Here is a 15,135-nt window from a genome sequence, read left to right as displayed (position 1 = left end):
GGGTATGAAGAAACTTTCTGGGTTGATGGGAATGTTCTTTATCTGGACTGGGCAGCTGATTACACAGGTGTACACAGACGTCAAAACTCATCCAACTGTACACTTGACATCCGTGCATTTTATTGTACAAAAATTATACCTCTTTTTTTTAAGTACTGGAAAAGAGTACAAAGAAAGAATTGCCTATGTCTTTTCTTTTTTTCTTTTTTCTTTTTTTTGAGATGGAGTCTCGCTCTGTCGCCCAGGCTGGAGTGCAGTGGTGCCATCAGAGCTCGCTGCAGGCTCCGCCTCCTGGGTTCATGCCATTCTCCTGCCTCAGCCTCCTGAGTAGCTGGGACTACAGGTGCCCGCCACCACGCCCAGCTAATTTTTTGTATTTTTAGTAGAGACAGGGTTTCACCATGTTAGCCAGGATGGTCTCAAACTCTTGACCTCATGATCCGCCCACCTTGGCCTCCCAAAGTGCTGGGATTACAGGTGTGAGCCACCGCGCCCAGCCTGCCTATGTCGTTTCTTCACTCCTAGGCTTAGTGTTGCGCTCAATTTAACCAAGCCCTTCAACCAGCTAGAAGGCCAGCTTTGTATGTATTTTGCAAGAAGCTCCTCATTAAGCTGTGAGTCCTGTCTTGGGGAGATTTATAGGAAGGTGGATGTTGACAAAAGGCCTGAACTCTTCCAATACTTCAATTAAGATGCATTCTAGGCCAGGTGCTATGGCTCACCACTGTAATCCCAGCACTTTGGGAGGCCAAGGCAGGCAGATCACGAGGTCAGGAGATCGAGACCAGGCTGGCCAACATGGTGAAACCCGGTCTCTACTAAAAACACAAAAATTAGCTGGACATTGTGGCAGGTGCCTGTACTCCAGCTACGTGGGAGGCTGAGGCAGGAGAACCACTTGAAACTGGAAGGTGGAGGTTACAGTGAGCCGAGATCACGCCACTGCATTCCAGCCTGGGCAACAAGAGTGAAACTCCGTCTCAGAAAAAAAAAAAAAAAAAATGCATTTGAGAAATATCCACTAAAGAAGAGAAAGGCCAATAGCGAGTCAAGAGAGAGCAAGAGCTGTTTTGTTGGTGTAACTGGGATGGAATCCACACTAGAGCCGGTGGAGGCGTGAGTGGGTGGTGGGGAGATGATGAAAGGCTGGATAGTGTGAGACACGGATTGTGCTGGTTACGAAACAGCCTTAAGTATGTTCGGCATAGACGCAACAGCAAACATCAATATACACTTATAGCAGTATTTTTTAACCAACTAGAAAGAGTAGGGGGACACAGAGGCAGGAAAAAAAATAAAATAAAAAATTAGGGCCGGTAATTACAGGCTCACACCTGTAATCCCAGCACTTTGGAAGGCCAAGGCAGACAGATCGTTTGAGGCCAGGAATTCCAGACCAGCCTGGGTAACATGCCAAAACCCCATCTCTACACAAAACAGAAAAATCAGCTGGGTGTGGCGGTGCACACCTGTAGTTCCAGCTACTCAGGAGGCTGAGGTGGGAGGATCACTTGAGCCTGGGAGGTTGAGGCTACGGTGAGCTACGATTGCAGCAGTGGCTCACGTCTGTAATCCCAGCATTCTTGGAGGCCGAGGCGGGCAGATCACTTGAGGTCAGGAGTTCAAGATCAGCCTGGCCAAATGGCGAAACCCCATCTCTACTAAAAAATACAAAAATTAGCCAGGTGTGGTGGCGCATGCCTGTAATCCCAGCTACTCAGAAGGCTGAGGAAGGAGAATCGCTTGAACTCAGGAGGCGGAGGTTGCAGTGAGCCAAGATCATGCCACTGCACTCCAGCCTGGGCAACAGAGTGAGACTCCATCTCAAAAAAAAAAGAAAAAAGAAAAAAAAGAAAAAAGTGGTGTATCTGACTATATGAACTTTTAAAAATGTCAAAAATAAAAAATCAAACTATTAAAATGCAAACTGACCAGGAAAAATATTTGTACCAAATCTGACCACAGCATTAATATCTTCATTACATGAGAAAAATCCTTATTAATTGGTTTTTTAAAACTGTCTCCAGGCCGGTCATGGTGGCTCATGCCTGTAATCCTATCACTTTGGGAGTCCGAGGTGGGCCAATCACCTGAGGTCAAAAGTTTGAGACCAGCCTGGCCAACATGGTGAAAACCCATCTCTACTAAAAGTACAAAAATTAGTTGGGCGTGGTGGCACACACCTGTAATCCCAGCTACTCAGGAGGCTGACGCAGGAGAATTGCTTGAACCTGGGAGGCAGAGATTGCAGTGAGCCAAGATCGCACCATTGCACTCCAGCCTGGATGCCAAGAGCGAAACTCTATCTCCAGTGGGCCAGGCACGGTGGCTCCCACCTGTAATCCCAGCACTTTTGGAGGCCAAGGTGGGTGGATCATTTGAGGCCAGGAGTTCAAGATCAGCATGGCCAACATGGTAAAACCCTGTCTCTACTAAAAATACAAAAAAATGAGCTCGGCGTGGTGGCATGCGCCTATAATCCCAGCTACTTGGGAAACTGACACACGAGAATCATTTGAATGCAGGAAGTGGAGGTTGCAGTGAGCTGTGATCGCGCCACTGCACTCCAGCCTGGGCAACAGAGTGAGACTGTCTCAAAAAAAAAAAAAAAGCAAATTTAGCTGGGCCTGATGGCGTATGCCTCTGGTCCTAGCTACTGGGAAGGCTGCAGTGGAAGGATCCACTGAGCCTGGGAGGTTAAGGCTGCAGTAGACATGATTGCACCACTGCACCCCAGCCTGAGCTACAGCCCAAGACCCTGTCTCAAAAAAAAAAAAAAGAAAAAGAAAAAACAAGGCTCTAATGAAAAAATGGGAAAAGGACATAAAGCTATCATTCAAAGAACTATAACCAGTAAACAAATACATAAAATAAGGCTCAGTTTTTCTTTTTTCTTTTTCTTTTTTTTTTTTTTTTTTGAGCCAGAGTCTCACTCTGTCGCCTAGGCTAGAGTACAGTGGCACAATCTCAGCTCACTGCAACCTCTGCCTCCCGGGTTCAAGCGATTCTCCTGCCTCAGCCTCCCGAGTAGCTGGGATTACAGGCACCCGCCACCATACACGGCTAATTTTTGTATTTTTAGTAGAGATGGGGTTTCACCATATTGGCCAGGCTGCTCTCGAACTCCTGACCTTGTGATCTGCCCACCTCAGCCTCCCAAAGTGCTAGGATTACAGGCGTGAGTAACCGTACCTAGTCAAGGCTCAATTTTTCTAATCAAAAAAGAAGTTAAAATATTAAATTTTCATTTTGCTACTAAATCAGCCAAACAAAATTTTAAATTAATATAACTATTACAGCTGGGCGTGGTGGCTCACGCCTGTAATCCCAGCGCTTTGGGAGGCCAAGGCAGGCAGATCACGAGGTCAGGAGATCAAGACCATCCTGGCTAACACGGTGAAACCCTGTCTCTACTAAAAATACAAAAAATTAGCTAGGCGTGGTGGTAGGTGCCTGTAGTCCCAGCTACTTGGGAAGCTGAGGCAGGAGAATGGCGTGAACCCGGGAGATGGAGCTTGCAGTGACCCAAAATCGCACTACTGCACTCCAGCCTGGGTGACAGGGTGAGACTCCGTCTCAAAAAAAAAAAAAAAAAAAGAGTTCGAGACCAGCCTGGCCAACATGGTGAAACCCTGTCTTTACTAAAAATACAAAATTAGCTGGGCATGGCGGCGTGTGCCTGTAGTCCCAGCTACCCAGGAGGCTGAGGCAGGAGAATCACTGGAACCCAGGAGGCGGAGTTTGCAGTAAGTTGAGATTACGCAACTGCACTACAGCCTGGGTGACAGAGTGAGAGTCCATCTCAAAAAAAAAAAAAAAACTACATATATATATCTATATACACACACACACATATATATATAAAACTGGCAAGGAAGGACCTTATAGATGGAGAGCATATAAATGGAGAATATAATTTACATATTGTAAATCGGCATAATTCTTTTCAAAGTTATTTTGGCACAAGACCTCAACAGTCATCAAAATGTTCACACTCTTGAACCCACTTGTTTACAGAGTCAACAACATTACAATGCAGACAGCCTATGCGTAACAATGCGATGTTTCTTGTAGGGTTCATTATAATAAAAACAACAACAAAAAGGCAGTAATTTAAAGGTCTAAACAGACAGAGGCTGATTAGGCAGCTTGGTTACGAGTTTAGAACCGGGAATCAAACATGGTGAGAAGCCCAGCCCTGGCACTAACAGGCTGTGTTACCAATGGCTCTCGGAAATTCCTCATCTGAAAAAACGATCATGCTATCACCTGCATCCTAAAGTTGTGAGGATTAGATGAGCTAATGCATGGGCTCACACGGCATTCAACATAGCATACAACGAACATAGTACATGTCAGACTTTTTTTGTTTTTGAGACAGAGTTTTGCTCTTGTTGCCCAGGCTGGAGTGCAATGGCACGATCTCGACTCACCACAACCTCCACCTCCTGAGTTCAAGCAATTCTCCTGCCTCAGCCTCCCAAGTAGCTGGAACTACAGGCACACGCCACCATGCCCGGCTAATTTTGTATGTTTAGTAGAGACGGGGTTTCACCATGTTGGTCAGGCTGACCTCAGGTGATCCACCTGCCTCAGCCTCCCAAAGCGCTGGGATTACAGGAGTTAGCCACTGCACCTGGCCCATGTCAGATATTATTAACCCTGCCACTTGACAAAATACCATTTATCACCTGGGCACAGTGGCTTATGCCTGTAATCCCAGAACTTTGGGAGGCCGAGGCATGAGGATCGCTTGAGCCCAGGAGTTCAAGACCACCTTGGGCCACATGATGAAACCAGTCTCTACAAAATTAAAAACTTGGCCAGGTGTGGTTGGGGGTGGTGCCTGTGGTCCCAGCTACTCGGGAGGCGGAGATGGGAGGATAGCTTGAGCCCAGGAGGTCAAGGCTGCAGTGAGCCAAGACCACACTATTGCATGCTGCATTCCAGCCTGGGTGACAGAGTGAGACCCTGTCTCATAAAACAAAAAACAAAAACAAAAACCTAAATACCATTTAGCTACAATATAAAACAAAAATTGGGAGAAAATAGTTAGCAAAGTGCCTATGATATGCTTTTATGTGTTTTGTTTTTGTTTTGAGACAAATTTTCACTCTGTCACCCAGGCTGGAGTGCAATGGTATGACCTCAGCTCACTGCAACCTCCACCTCCTGGGTTCAAGTGATTCTCCTGCCTCAGCCTCCTGAGTAGCTGGGATTACAGGCATGCACCACCATGCCCGGCTAGTTTTTGTATTTTTAGTAGAGACAGGGCTTCACCATGTTGGTCAGGCTGTTCTTGAACTCCTGACCTCAGGTGATCCACCTGCCTTGGCCTCCCAAAGTGCTGGGATTACAGGTTTGAGCCACCTCGCCCAGCCACTATGATACGTTAAGTAGGAAAAAAAGTCCAATTCCAAATTACAGATGGATGGTGGTGATATATAATTATATATAATTTACATATTATAAATTGGTATAATTCTTTTCAAAGTCTTTTTGGCACAAATCAAGCCATATTTGCACTATAATTCTAATAGTCCATCTCTAATAGCTATATGTGACCACAGAGAACTTGGAAGTCATCAAACGAGTGCCACAGAGTTGTGTTAGGGTGATAAGATCATAGATACATTTTTTTCTATTGTAATTGTCTATAAACTTGTCATTTCATACATAAAAACAAATTCAAGGCCGGGCACAGTGGCTCACGGCTATAATCCCAGCACTTTAGGAGGCCGAGGCGGGTGGATCACTTGAACCCAGGAGTTTGAGACCAGCCTGGGCAACAGAGTGAAACCCCATCTCTACTAACAATACAAAAATTAGCCGGGCGTGGCGGCGGGCGCCTGTAATCCCAGCTACTTCGGAGGCTGAGGCAGGAGAATTGCTTGAACTCGGGAGGTGGAGGGTGCAGTGAGCCAAGATCATGCCACTGCACTTCAGCCTGGGTGATAGAATGAGACACTTCCTCAAAAAATAACATAGGCCGGGCACAGTGGCTCACACCTGTAATCCCAGCACTTTGGGAGGGCGAGGCGAGCAGATCACAAGGTCAGGAGATCGAGATCGTCCTGGCTAATACGGTGAAACCCCATCTCCACTAAAAAAATACACAAAAAAATCAGCTGGGCGTGGTGGCGGGCACCTGCAGTCCCAGCTACTCGGGAGGCTGAGGCAGGAGAATGGCGCAAACCTGGGAGGTGGAGCTTGCAGTGAGCAGAGATCGCACCACTGCACTCCAGCCTGGGCGACAGAGTGAGACTCTGTCTCAAGAAAAACAAAAAACAAAAATAAATAAATAAATAAATTCAAGACCATGAGTTCCAATTTTTGATTCAGAAATCAAGAGTTGTTAAAACAGTTTGCCTGGGCTATCAGGTCCCTTCCTTGTTTGCTGTCCTTGGCTGCAGCTCAGCTGGCCAGGAGCAGTCACTTCTTGGTACTAACTGTTAGGCTTATTGTGAGTACCTCTGAATCGTATCTAAAAGATCCCATTTTTCTCAAGCTTTCTTTTTCTTTTCTTTCTTTTTTTTTTTTTGAGACTGTCTTGCCCTGTCACCAGGCTGGAGTAAAGTGGTGAGAACTCGGCTCATTGCAATCTCTGCCTCCAGGGTTCAAGCGATTCTCTTGCCTCAGCCTCCCAAGTAGCTGGGACTACAGGCTCCCACCACCACGTCCAGCTAATTTTTGTATTTTTAGTAGAGATGGGTTTTCACCATGTTGGCCAGGATGGTCTCGATCTCTTGACCTTGTGATCCACCCGCCTCAGCCTCCCAAAGTGCTGGGATTACAGGTGTGAGCCACCACACCCGGCCAAGCGTTCTTATTCGTATTTTTATTAATTATATTATTTTTATTTTACAAATAAAATAGAGACAGGGTTTTGCTATGTTGGTCAGGCTGATCTCAAACTCCTGGCCTCAAGCAATCCTCCCACCTTGGCCTCCCAAAATGCTGGAATTACCACCACCACCCAGCCCATCTTTTTTTTTTTTTTTTCTGGAGACAGTCTAGCTCTGTCACCCAGGCTGGAGTGCAGTGGCGAGTTCTTGACTCACTGTAACCTCCACCTCCCAGGTTCAAGTGATTCTCCCACCTAAGCCTCCCAAGTAGGTGGGACTACAAGCACATGCCACCGCACCTGGCTAAATTTTATATTTTTAGTAAAGACGGGGTTTCACCATGTTGGCCAGGCTGTTCTTGACCACCTGACCTCAAGTGATCCACCTGCCTCAGCCTCCCAAAGTACTGGGATTCCAGACGTGAGCCACCACTCCTGACCCATCTTTTTAAGCTTTCTACCTACATTAATGGACACCAGCAGCTGTGTCTCTACTGCTCTCACCCTTACAGATTCTGCTCCTCTCTGCACGAGCAGGTAGGTGACGGAGCCATAGGAGATGGGCCGTGCTCTGGATGCCTTCTTCAACCCTCACAGACAAGAAAAGCCGTGTTTTCCAGGCCGAGTGTTGCCTGGAAGCCTCTCTCCTATTATTCAAAAGCCCTTCCACCTGTGCCTAATCTAGATGATTCAATGGGGCTTTGCAGTTTAACTGCTTCCTGCCCTCTACATGTTGGTTACGTGTATGCGATCCCAAGTTTGTGAGGGTGCAATTACTTGAAGCAGTAAAGAGGTTGTTGCCAAAACGGAGTCCTCAATCCAAACTCAGCCACTGTTTGCAGAAGAGAATATTCTGGGAATTTCTCAATATGAGTAGCTAATGGTAGTTGTGATTAAAACCTTCTTAGTGTAAATTATAGCAAGCAGAAACAGTGATGACATTTGTCTCTGTGACTGTGATGTAAGAAAGTCCACAGACATGTTATTTAGTACAAATTGACCATCTACTGTGTGCCAGGTGTCATACCAGGTATAGCAAACATACATTTCCATAGTTGAAAAAGAACGTAGAGATCACACATTCCAACCATCCATAGATTGTTGCATCCAATTTACAACATCTCCACCAAGAATAACTCATGGGCCAGGTGCAGCGGCTCACGCCTGTAATCCCACCACTTTGGGAGGCCAAGGCAGGTGGATCACCTGAGGTCAGGAGTTCAAGGCCAGCCTGGCCAACATGGTGAAACCCCATCTCTACAAAAAATATAAAAAGTAGCTGAGCACGGTGGCACATGCCTGTGGTCCCACCTACTCAGAAGGCTGAAGCACAAGTAATTGCTTGAACCTGGGAGGCGGAGGTTGCTGTGAGCCAAGATCACACAACTGCACTCCAGCCTGGGTGACAGAGAGAGACTCGGTCTCAAGAAAACAAACAAACAAACAAAAACTCTTATGGAGAGGAACCCACAGATTCCCATAGCAGTCCATTCTACTTTTACTCAGCTCTGACTGTTAGAAAGTGCTCCCTTGGAGGCTGAGGCAGGAGAATCACTTGAACCTGGGAGTCAAAGGTTGCAGTGAGCCAGAATCGCACCACCGCACTCCAGCCTGACGACAGAGAGACTCCATCTCAAAAAAAAAAAGAAAAGAAAAAAAGAAAGAAAGTGCTCCCTTGGGCCGGGCGCGGTGGCTCACGCCTGTAATCCCAGCACTTTGGGAGGCCGAGGTGGGCGGATCACGAGGTCAGGAGATCGAGACCATCCTGGCTAACACAGTGAAACCCTGTCTCTACTAAAAATACAAAAAAAATTAGCCGGGCGTGGTGGTAGGTGCCTGTAGTCCCAGCTGCTTGGGAGGCTGAGGCAGGAGAATGGCGTGAACTCGGGAGGCGGGGCTTGCAGTGAGCCGAGATCGCGCCACTGCACTCCAGCCTGGGTAACAGCGAGACTCCATCTCAAAAAAAAAAAAAGAAAAAGAAAAAAGAAAGTGCTCCCTTGGGTTAATTCCTTTTTTTTTTTTTTTTTTTTTGAGACCAAGTCTCGCTCTGTCGCCCAGGCTGGAGTGCAATGACGCGATCTCAGCTCACTGTAATCTCTGCCTCTTGGGTTCAAGCAATTCTCCTGCCTCAGCCTCCCGAAAAGCTGGGACTACAGGCACGTGGCACCACACCTGGCTAATTTTTTGTGTTTTTAGTAGAGACAAGGTTTCACTGTGTTGGCCAGGCTGGTCTCAAACTCCTGACTTCAGGTGATCCACCCGCCTCGACCTCCCAAAGTGCCGGGATTACAGGTGTGAGCCACCGCACCCGGCCTCCCTTGGGTTATTTCCTAATTCATAATCATTGCTTATGTGGAAGGAACTATAATCAGCTATATCTCCTCTTGCTAAGAAAAGGAATTATTCCTGTATCTTGTCCTGGCATCCACGTGTCCTCACGGTCTCTTATGATGTGACTCAACAGAAGTTGCGGGCATTTTTTTTCAGACCTAGAAGTTGACAGTTTACCAAACAGGTATTCTGTTTCCTGGCACCAAGTCAGAAATATGTTCCCAGGTTAGTTAAAAGGTGTCGAGGTGTTCGATTTCAGGCGTCTAGCTGATGCTCAGCCCATGCAATTAGGAGCCCGGCCAGAGCAAGTAAATCTTTTAGGCTCTTGGATGATGAGTCACGAATTCCATATAAGGCCCAACTTCCAGCCCCTGGCACTGAGGATGATCATAAGTGTTTGATCCTCTTGAGGCAGTTGCATTTTTACAGGGAGTTCTAACAAAAATAGATTACTCCACCCTGATTATGAGGAAATGCTTTGCTTAAGAAGCAGAAGTAGAGAGGGGGTGGAAAGGCTTGATGGCTGAAAGAAAACACTTGTTTGAAGTTTTCTTTTTCTTTTTCTTTTTTTTTTTGAGAAGGAGTTTCCCTCTTGTCACCCAGGTTGGAGTACAGTGGCGCTATTTTGGCTCACTGCAAACTCCGCTTCCTGGGTTCAAGTGATTCTCCTGCCTCAGCCTCCCGAGTAGCTGGAATTACAGGCACCCGCCAGCACACCCAGCTAATTTTTGTATTTTTGGTAGAGATGGGGTTTTACCATGTTGGCCAGGCTGGTCTTGAACTCCTGACCTCAGGTGATCCACCTGCCTCGGCCTCTCAAAGTGCTGGGATTACAGGCGTGAGCCCGGCCTAAAGTTTTCAAATGTAAAATAATTTTGCTAGAAGACAAACAATGGTTACGAAATTTTTATGGGAAACTTTTTTTTTTTGAGATAGGTTCTCGGTCTGTCATCCAGGCTGATGCGATCACATCTCACTGCAGCCTTGATAACCCAGGCTCAAAGGATCCTCCTGCCTCAGCCTCCCGAGTAGCTGGGACTACAAACACATGCCACCACATCTGGCTAATTTTTTTTTCTTATTTTTTTGTAAAGACAGGGTCTTGCTATGTTGCCAAGGCTGTTCTCAAACTCCTGGGCTCAAGCAATCCTCCTGCCTCAGCCTTCCAAAGTGCTGGAATTACACCTGTGAGACTCCATGCCCAGCTAGGAAACTATTTTGAATTTAGCATTCCCTACCCACTCAGATTATCGATCAAATGTGAAGCAATCAAAGAGACACTATTAAGATGTGCACAGGAGAACTTGGAAGATGTATTCCACAAGTACTCACCATGAAAAAGATGCTCAGGAACTACTTTGACAAAACAAAAGAGGAATTAAAGAAAGGGAAAGAAATTGGATAAAAAAAAAAAAAAAAAGAAGGACTGGCTGGGCACGGTGGCTCACTCCTGTAATCCCAGCGCTTTGGGAGGCCAAGGTGGGTGGATCACCTGAGGTCAGGAGTTTGAGACCAGCCTGGACAACATGGCGAAACCCTGTCTCTACTAAAAATACAAAAAATTAGCCGGGTGTGGTGGTGCATGCCTGTAGTCCCAGCTACTCAGAAGGCTGAGGCAGAAGAATTGCTTGAACCCAGGAGGCGGAGGTTGCAGTGAGCCAAGATCACACCAGTGTACTCCAGCTTGGGTGACAGAGCAAGACTCTGTCTCAAAAAACATATAAATAATTAATTAATTAAATTTTTAAAAGAAGGATTGTCAAGTCTCACCCAGAAGATGTGGCATGTAATGTTGGGGGTGGGCGGTGCAGGAGAGATAGGGGCCGGGGGAAGGAGGGCGGGGAAGGGGGCCGCAAGCTGGAGCTGTCAAGCGGCAAAATTCTAAAGCCAGAAGACTGAATTTCTGTTTTTATGGGTCCATACCTGTCCATTTGAGGAGTCCTTTCTTGAATAACTCAAAGCTCTTTGAAAATATTTATCTCCCTTGATCCTGGTCTCTGATCCGTCTTATCTTCCATAGCTACTGAGTCACCTAAGTATCCACAATGGTGTTTCTACTGGGAGTTGACACCTGCAATTTCCAGCCCCTGGCCTAGCAGTTTCCCAAGGGGTCTGTCTCTGATCATCTTATAGGGGATTTCCTACTGCAGGGAAGAGAGAAGTGCTGAGTTCAAAGTTTTTGAGACTGTGGTGACTGATTTTCTGAGCCAAAAGTCAGGACACAAGACGAGACTGACAAGTAAGAATGGACTTTCCTGAATCAAAGGGAGAGACTTTAAAACCAGACAGCCCTTGCAAATTCAGGGTGTATGGCTACCTTGATTGTCCTCAGGGACCTGAGGGACAGAGACAACAAAGTGGAAGCCCCCACCTGTGGGGCCCCCTCACCTGGGCAGGGTGAAGGCACACGGTGCTGTAACAGGCTCATAACTGGGCACTCCCTGAAACCCATAGTCTTTAGGGATTTCTTCGCTGATTCTGCAGATAAGAGCCTGAGACAGACGGGGCACAGGTCTGATAACTCAGCCTTTTTTGTCCCTAACAATTTAGCTCCAACTCCACACTATGTGCCCCACTTAGCGAACAAGTTCTTCAGATGGAAGGCAGTTGAGCAGCTTGGAGTTGTCACTCTGGTATGTCCTCACAAGTAGGGTGGGTGGGGAGTGGGGTGTCTTACCTCCATCTTAAGTCACTTATCAAAGTATTTCTTCCTACCACTTGGAACAGTCTATCTGATTTTTCATTTTATTATTTTTCTTTTTTTTTTTTTTTTTGTATAGACAGGGGCTCACTACATTGCCCAGGCTGGTCTTGAATTCCTGGCCTCAAACAAGCCTCCCACCTCGGCCTCCCAAAGTGTTGGGATTACAGGCATGAGCCACCATGTCCAGCCTAGTCTAACTGATTTAAAAACACACACGCACACACACATTTTAATTGACAGATAATAGCTGTACATATTTACAGGGTAGATAGTGATGTTGCAATATACATAATGTACAGTGATCAGGTCAGGGTAATTCCTATATCCACAATTGCTGGAAAAGGAGGAGAGACCCAAGAGACCAGTCTTTTGGACTTGAGTTTTTGAAAATATATATTTAATTTTAAAAACTTGCAAAACAGGCCAGGCACGGTGGCTCACGCCTGTAATCCCAGCACTTTGGGAGGCCGAGGCTGGCAGATCACCTGAGGTCAGGAGTTAGAGACCACCCTGGCCAACATGGTGAAATCCCATCTCTACTAAAAATACAAAATTAGCTAGGCATGGTGGTGCATGCCTGTAATCGCAGCTACTTGGGAGGCTCAGGCAGGGGAATTGCTTGAACCTCGGAGGCAGAGGTTGCAAGTGAACTGACATCATGCCACTCCACTCCAGCCTGAGCAACAGAGTGAGTGAGACACAATCTAAAAAAAAAAAAAAAAAAAAAAGGCCAGGTGCGGTGGCTTACCCCTGTAATCCTAGCACTTTGGGAGGCCGAGGTGGGCGGATCACAAGGTCAGGAGATTTAGACCATCCTGTGAATGGTGAAAACCCCGTCTCTACTGAAAATACAAAAAAAAAAAAAAAAAAAAAAAAAATTAGCCGGTCCTGGTGGTGGGTGCCCGTAGTCCCAGCTACTCCAGAGGTTGAGGCGGGAGAATGCCGTGAACCTGGGAGGCGGAGCTTGCAGTGAGCTGAGATTGCGCCACCGCACTCCAGCCTGGGAGACAGAGCGAGACTCCGTCTCAAAAAAAAAAAAAAAAGGCTGGGTGTGGTGGCTCATACCTGTAATCCCAGCACTTTGGGAGGCCGAGGCAGGCAGATCACAAGGTCAAGAGATTGAGGCCATCCCGGCTAACAGGGTGAAACCCCGTCTCTACTAAAAATACAAAAATTAGCTGGGCGTGGTGGCACGTGCCTGTAGTCCCAGCTACTCGGGAGGCTGAGGCAGGAGAATCGCTTGAACCCGGGAGGCGGAGGTTACCTTGAGCCAAGATTGCGCCACTGCACTCCAGCCTGGCGACAGAGTGAGACCCCGTCTAAAAAAAAAAAAAGGCAAAACAGATACACAAAAATAGAAAATCTAAATGGTTCTATATTTATTTATTTATTTAAGTCTCTCTCGGTCGCCCAGGCTGGAGTGCAGTGGCGCGATCTCGGCTCACTGCAAGCTCCGCCTCCCGGGTTCACGCCATTCTCCTGCCTCAGCCTCCCGAGTACCTGGGACTACAGGCACCCGCCACCACGCCCGCCTAATTTTTTTGTATTTTTAGTAGAGACGGGGTTTCACTGTGATAGCCAGGATGGTCTCGATCTCCTGACCTCGTGATCCGCTGGCCTCAGCCTCCCAAAGTGCTGGGATTACAGGCGTGACCACCGCGCCAGGCTATATATATATATTTTTTAATCAAATCTATAATAGAGGCCTTTCCTAAAAAGAAAAAAAAAGCCTTTTGAACATATATATTGCAGAATTACATAGGATTACATTTCTACACCAATTATATTGCCATTTAAAAATATTTCTCACTTGGTTACATAAAAATATTATTCTACAACAGTGTAATATGCATTTTTTATTCTGTCTTGAACATCTTTTTATATATTTATTGTATATTTGTGTTTTTTCCTTTATGAATTGCCTGTATAACATCCTTAACCCAATCTTATTTTGTTTAATTTTGAAGTCCTTTTATTTGTATGTTAACTATATTAAGCTTTGATCTGGCATATTTGTTACAAATTTTTTTTTCTATTAGTTTGGCTTTTGATTTGGTAAATGACATTTTAAAACATGCACTTGTTTTTAAATTGTATTTGAAATTTTTAAAAAAGAATAGTCTACCTGAGAAGACCTCTGAGAAATATGATTTTCCATCTCATTACAGCTCCATGACACTGTAGCGTGCCTTACAGATTGGCACCGCTAACAATTATACAGCGAGCTGGTCTACCTCTCAATGCCTCTTGATCATGAGCTCTCAGGAAATGACAGCTCCGGGAATTAATATCCAGAAGACGAGTCTTGGCCGGGCGCGGTGGCTCACACCTGTAATCCCAGCACTTTGGGAGACCGAGGCAGGCGGATCACAAGGTCAGGAGAGCGAGACCACCCTGGCCAACATGGTGAAACGCTGTCTCTACTAAAAATACAAAAATTAGCTAGGTGTGGTGGTGTGTGCCTGTAATTCCAGCTCTTTGGGAGGCTGAGGCAGGAGAATCGCTTGAACTAGGGAGTCGGAGCTTGCAGTGAGCCGAGATCGCACCACTGCACTCCAGCCTGGCGACAGAACGAGACTCTGTCTCAAAAAAAAAAAAAAAAAAAAAAAAAAAAAGCCTCTGGGCCCACCTCTTCTCTTCAGGGCTCCTACAGATAACACATTGGTCCTGGCCACTAAAATGTCCCAATGCCAGCTGAGAGAGGAAGATAAGAACTGGCAGGCCCCCCTTTCCTCTGGAAGTTGTGTCATATTCTGTGAACTTGGCCTCAAGAGGGAGATAAGAACTGGGTAAGGCTCACTTCCCCACGGAGATGGTTTCATGCCCAGTAGACACTTGCCCCGAGTCCGGAGAAGCAGTAGGTGCTTTGCAAATATTTACCTAGCTACATGGCAACCGGGCAGTGCTGTCAGAGTTCTGTGTCATTTCTGGGCCACACGCCCCACACCCCATTCTCTCCTCTTGCATTACAAAGGCTACGTCCCTTCCCACAGCTACCTTTCCACAAGTGTTCAAAACCACGTGAAGGTCAGACTCCTTTGATTTCTAAATCATGCCCTTAGCCAAGATTGAACTTCCAATAGAGAAAATTTTAGGTTTGCTTTCATGTGTGAGGTGAAATGACTGTCCCTTTGTCAGAGGCGTTTGAACCAGAGCAACTCCATCTTAAACAGGAGCTGGGTAAAATAAGGCTGAGACCTACTGGGCTGCATTCCCAGATGGTTAAGGCATTCTAAGTCACAGGATAAGATAGGAG

The sequence above is a fragment of the Homo sapiens genome, chromosome 10, assembly GCF_000001405.40.
Source record: "Homo sapiens chromosome 10, GRCh38.p14 Primary Assembly".
In the NCBI taxonomy this organism is placed as follows: domain Eukaryota; kingdom Metazoa; phylum Chordata; class Mammalia; order Primates; family Hominidae; genus Homo; species Homo sapiens.
The sequence above is the reverse complement of the archived record's forward strand: the minus strand, read 5'-3'. Positions refer to the sequence as shown.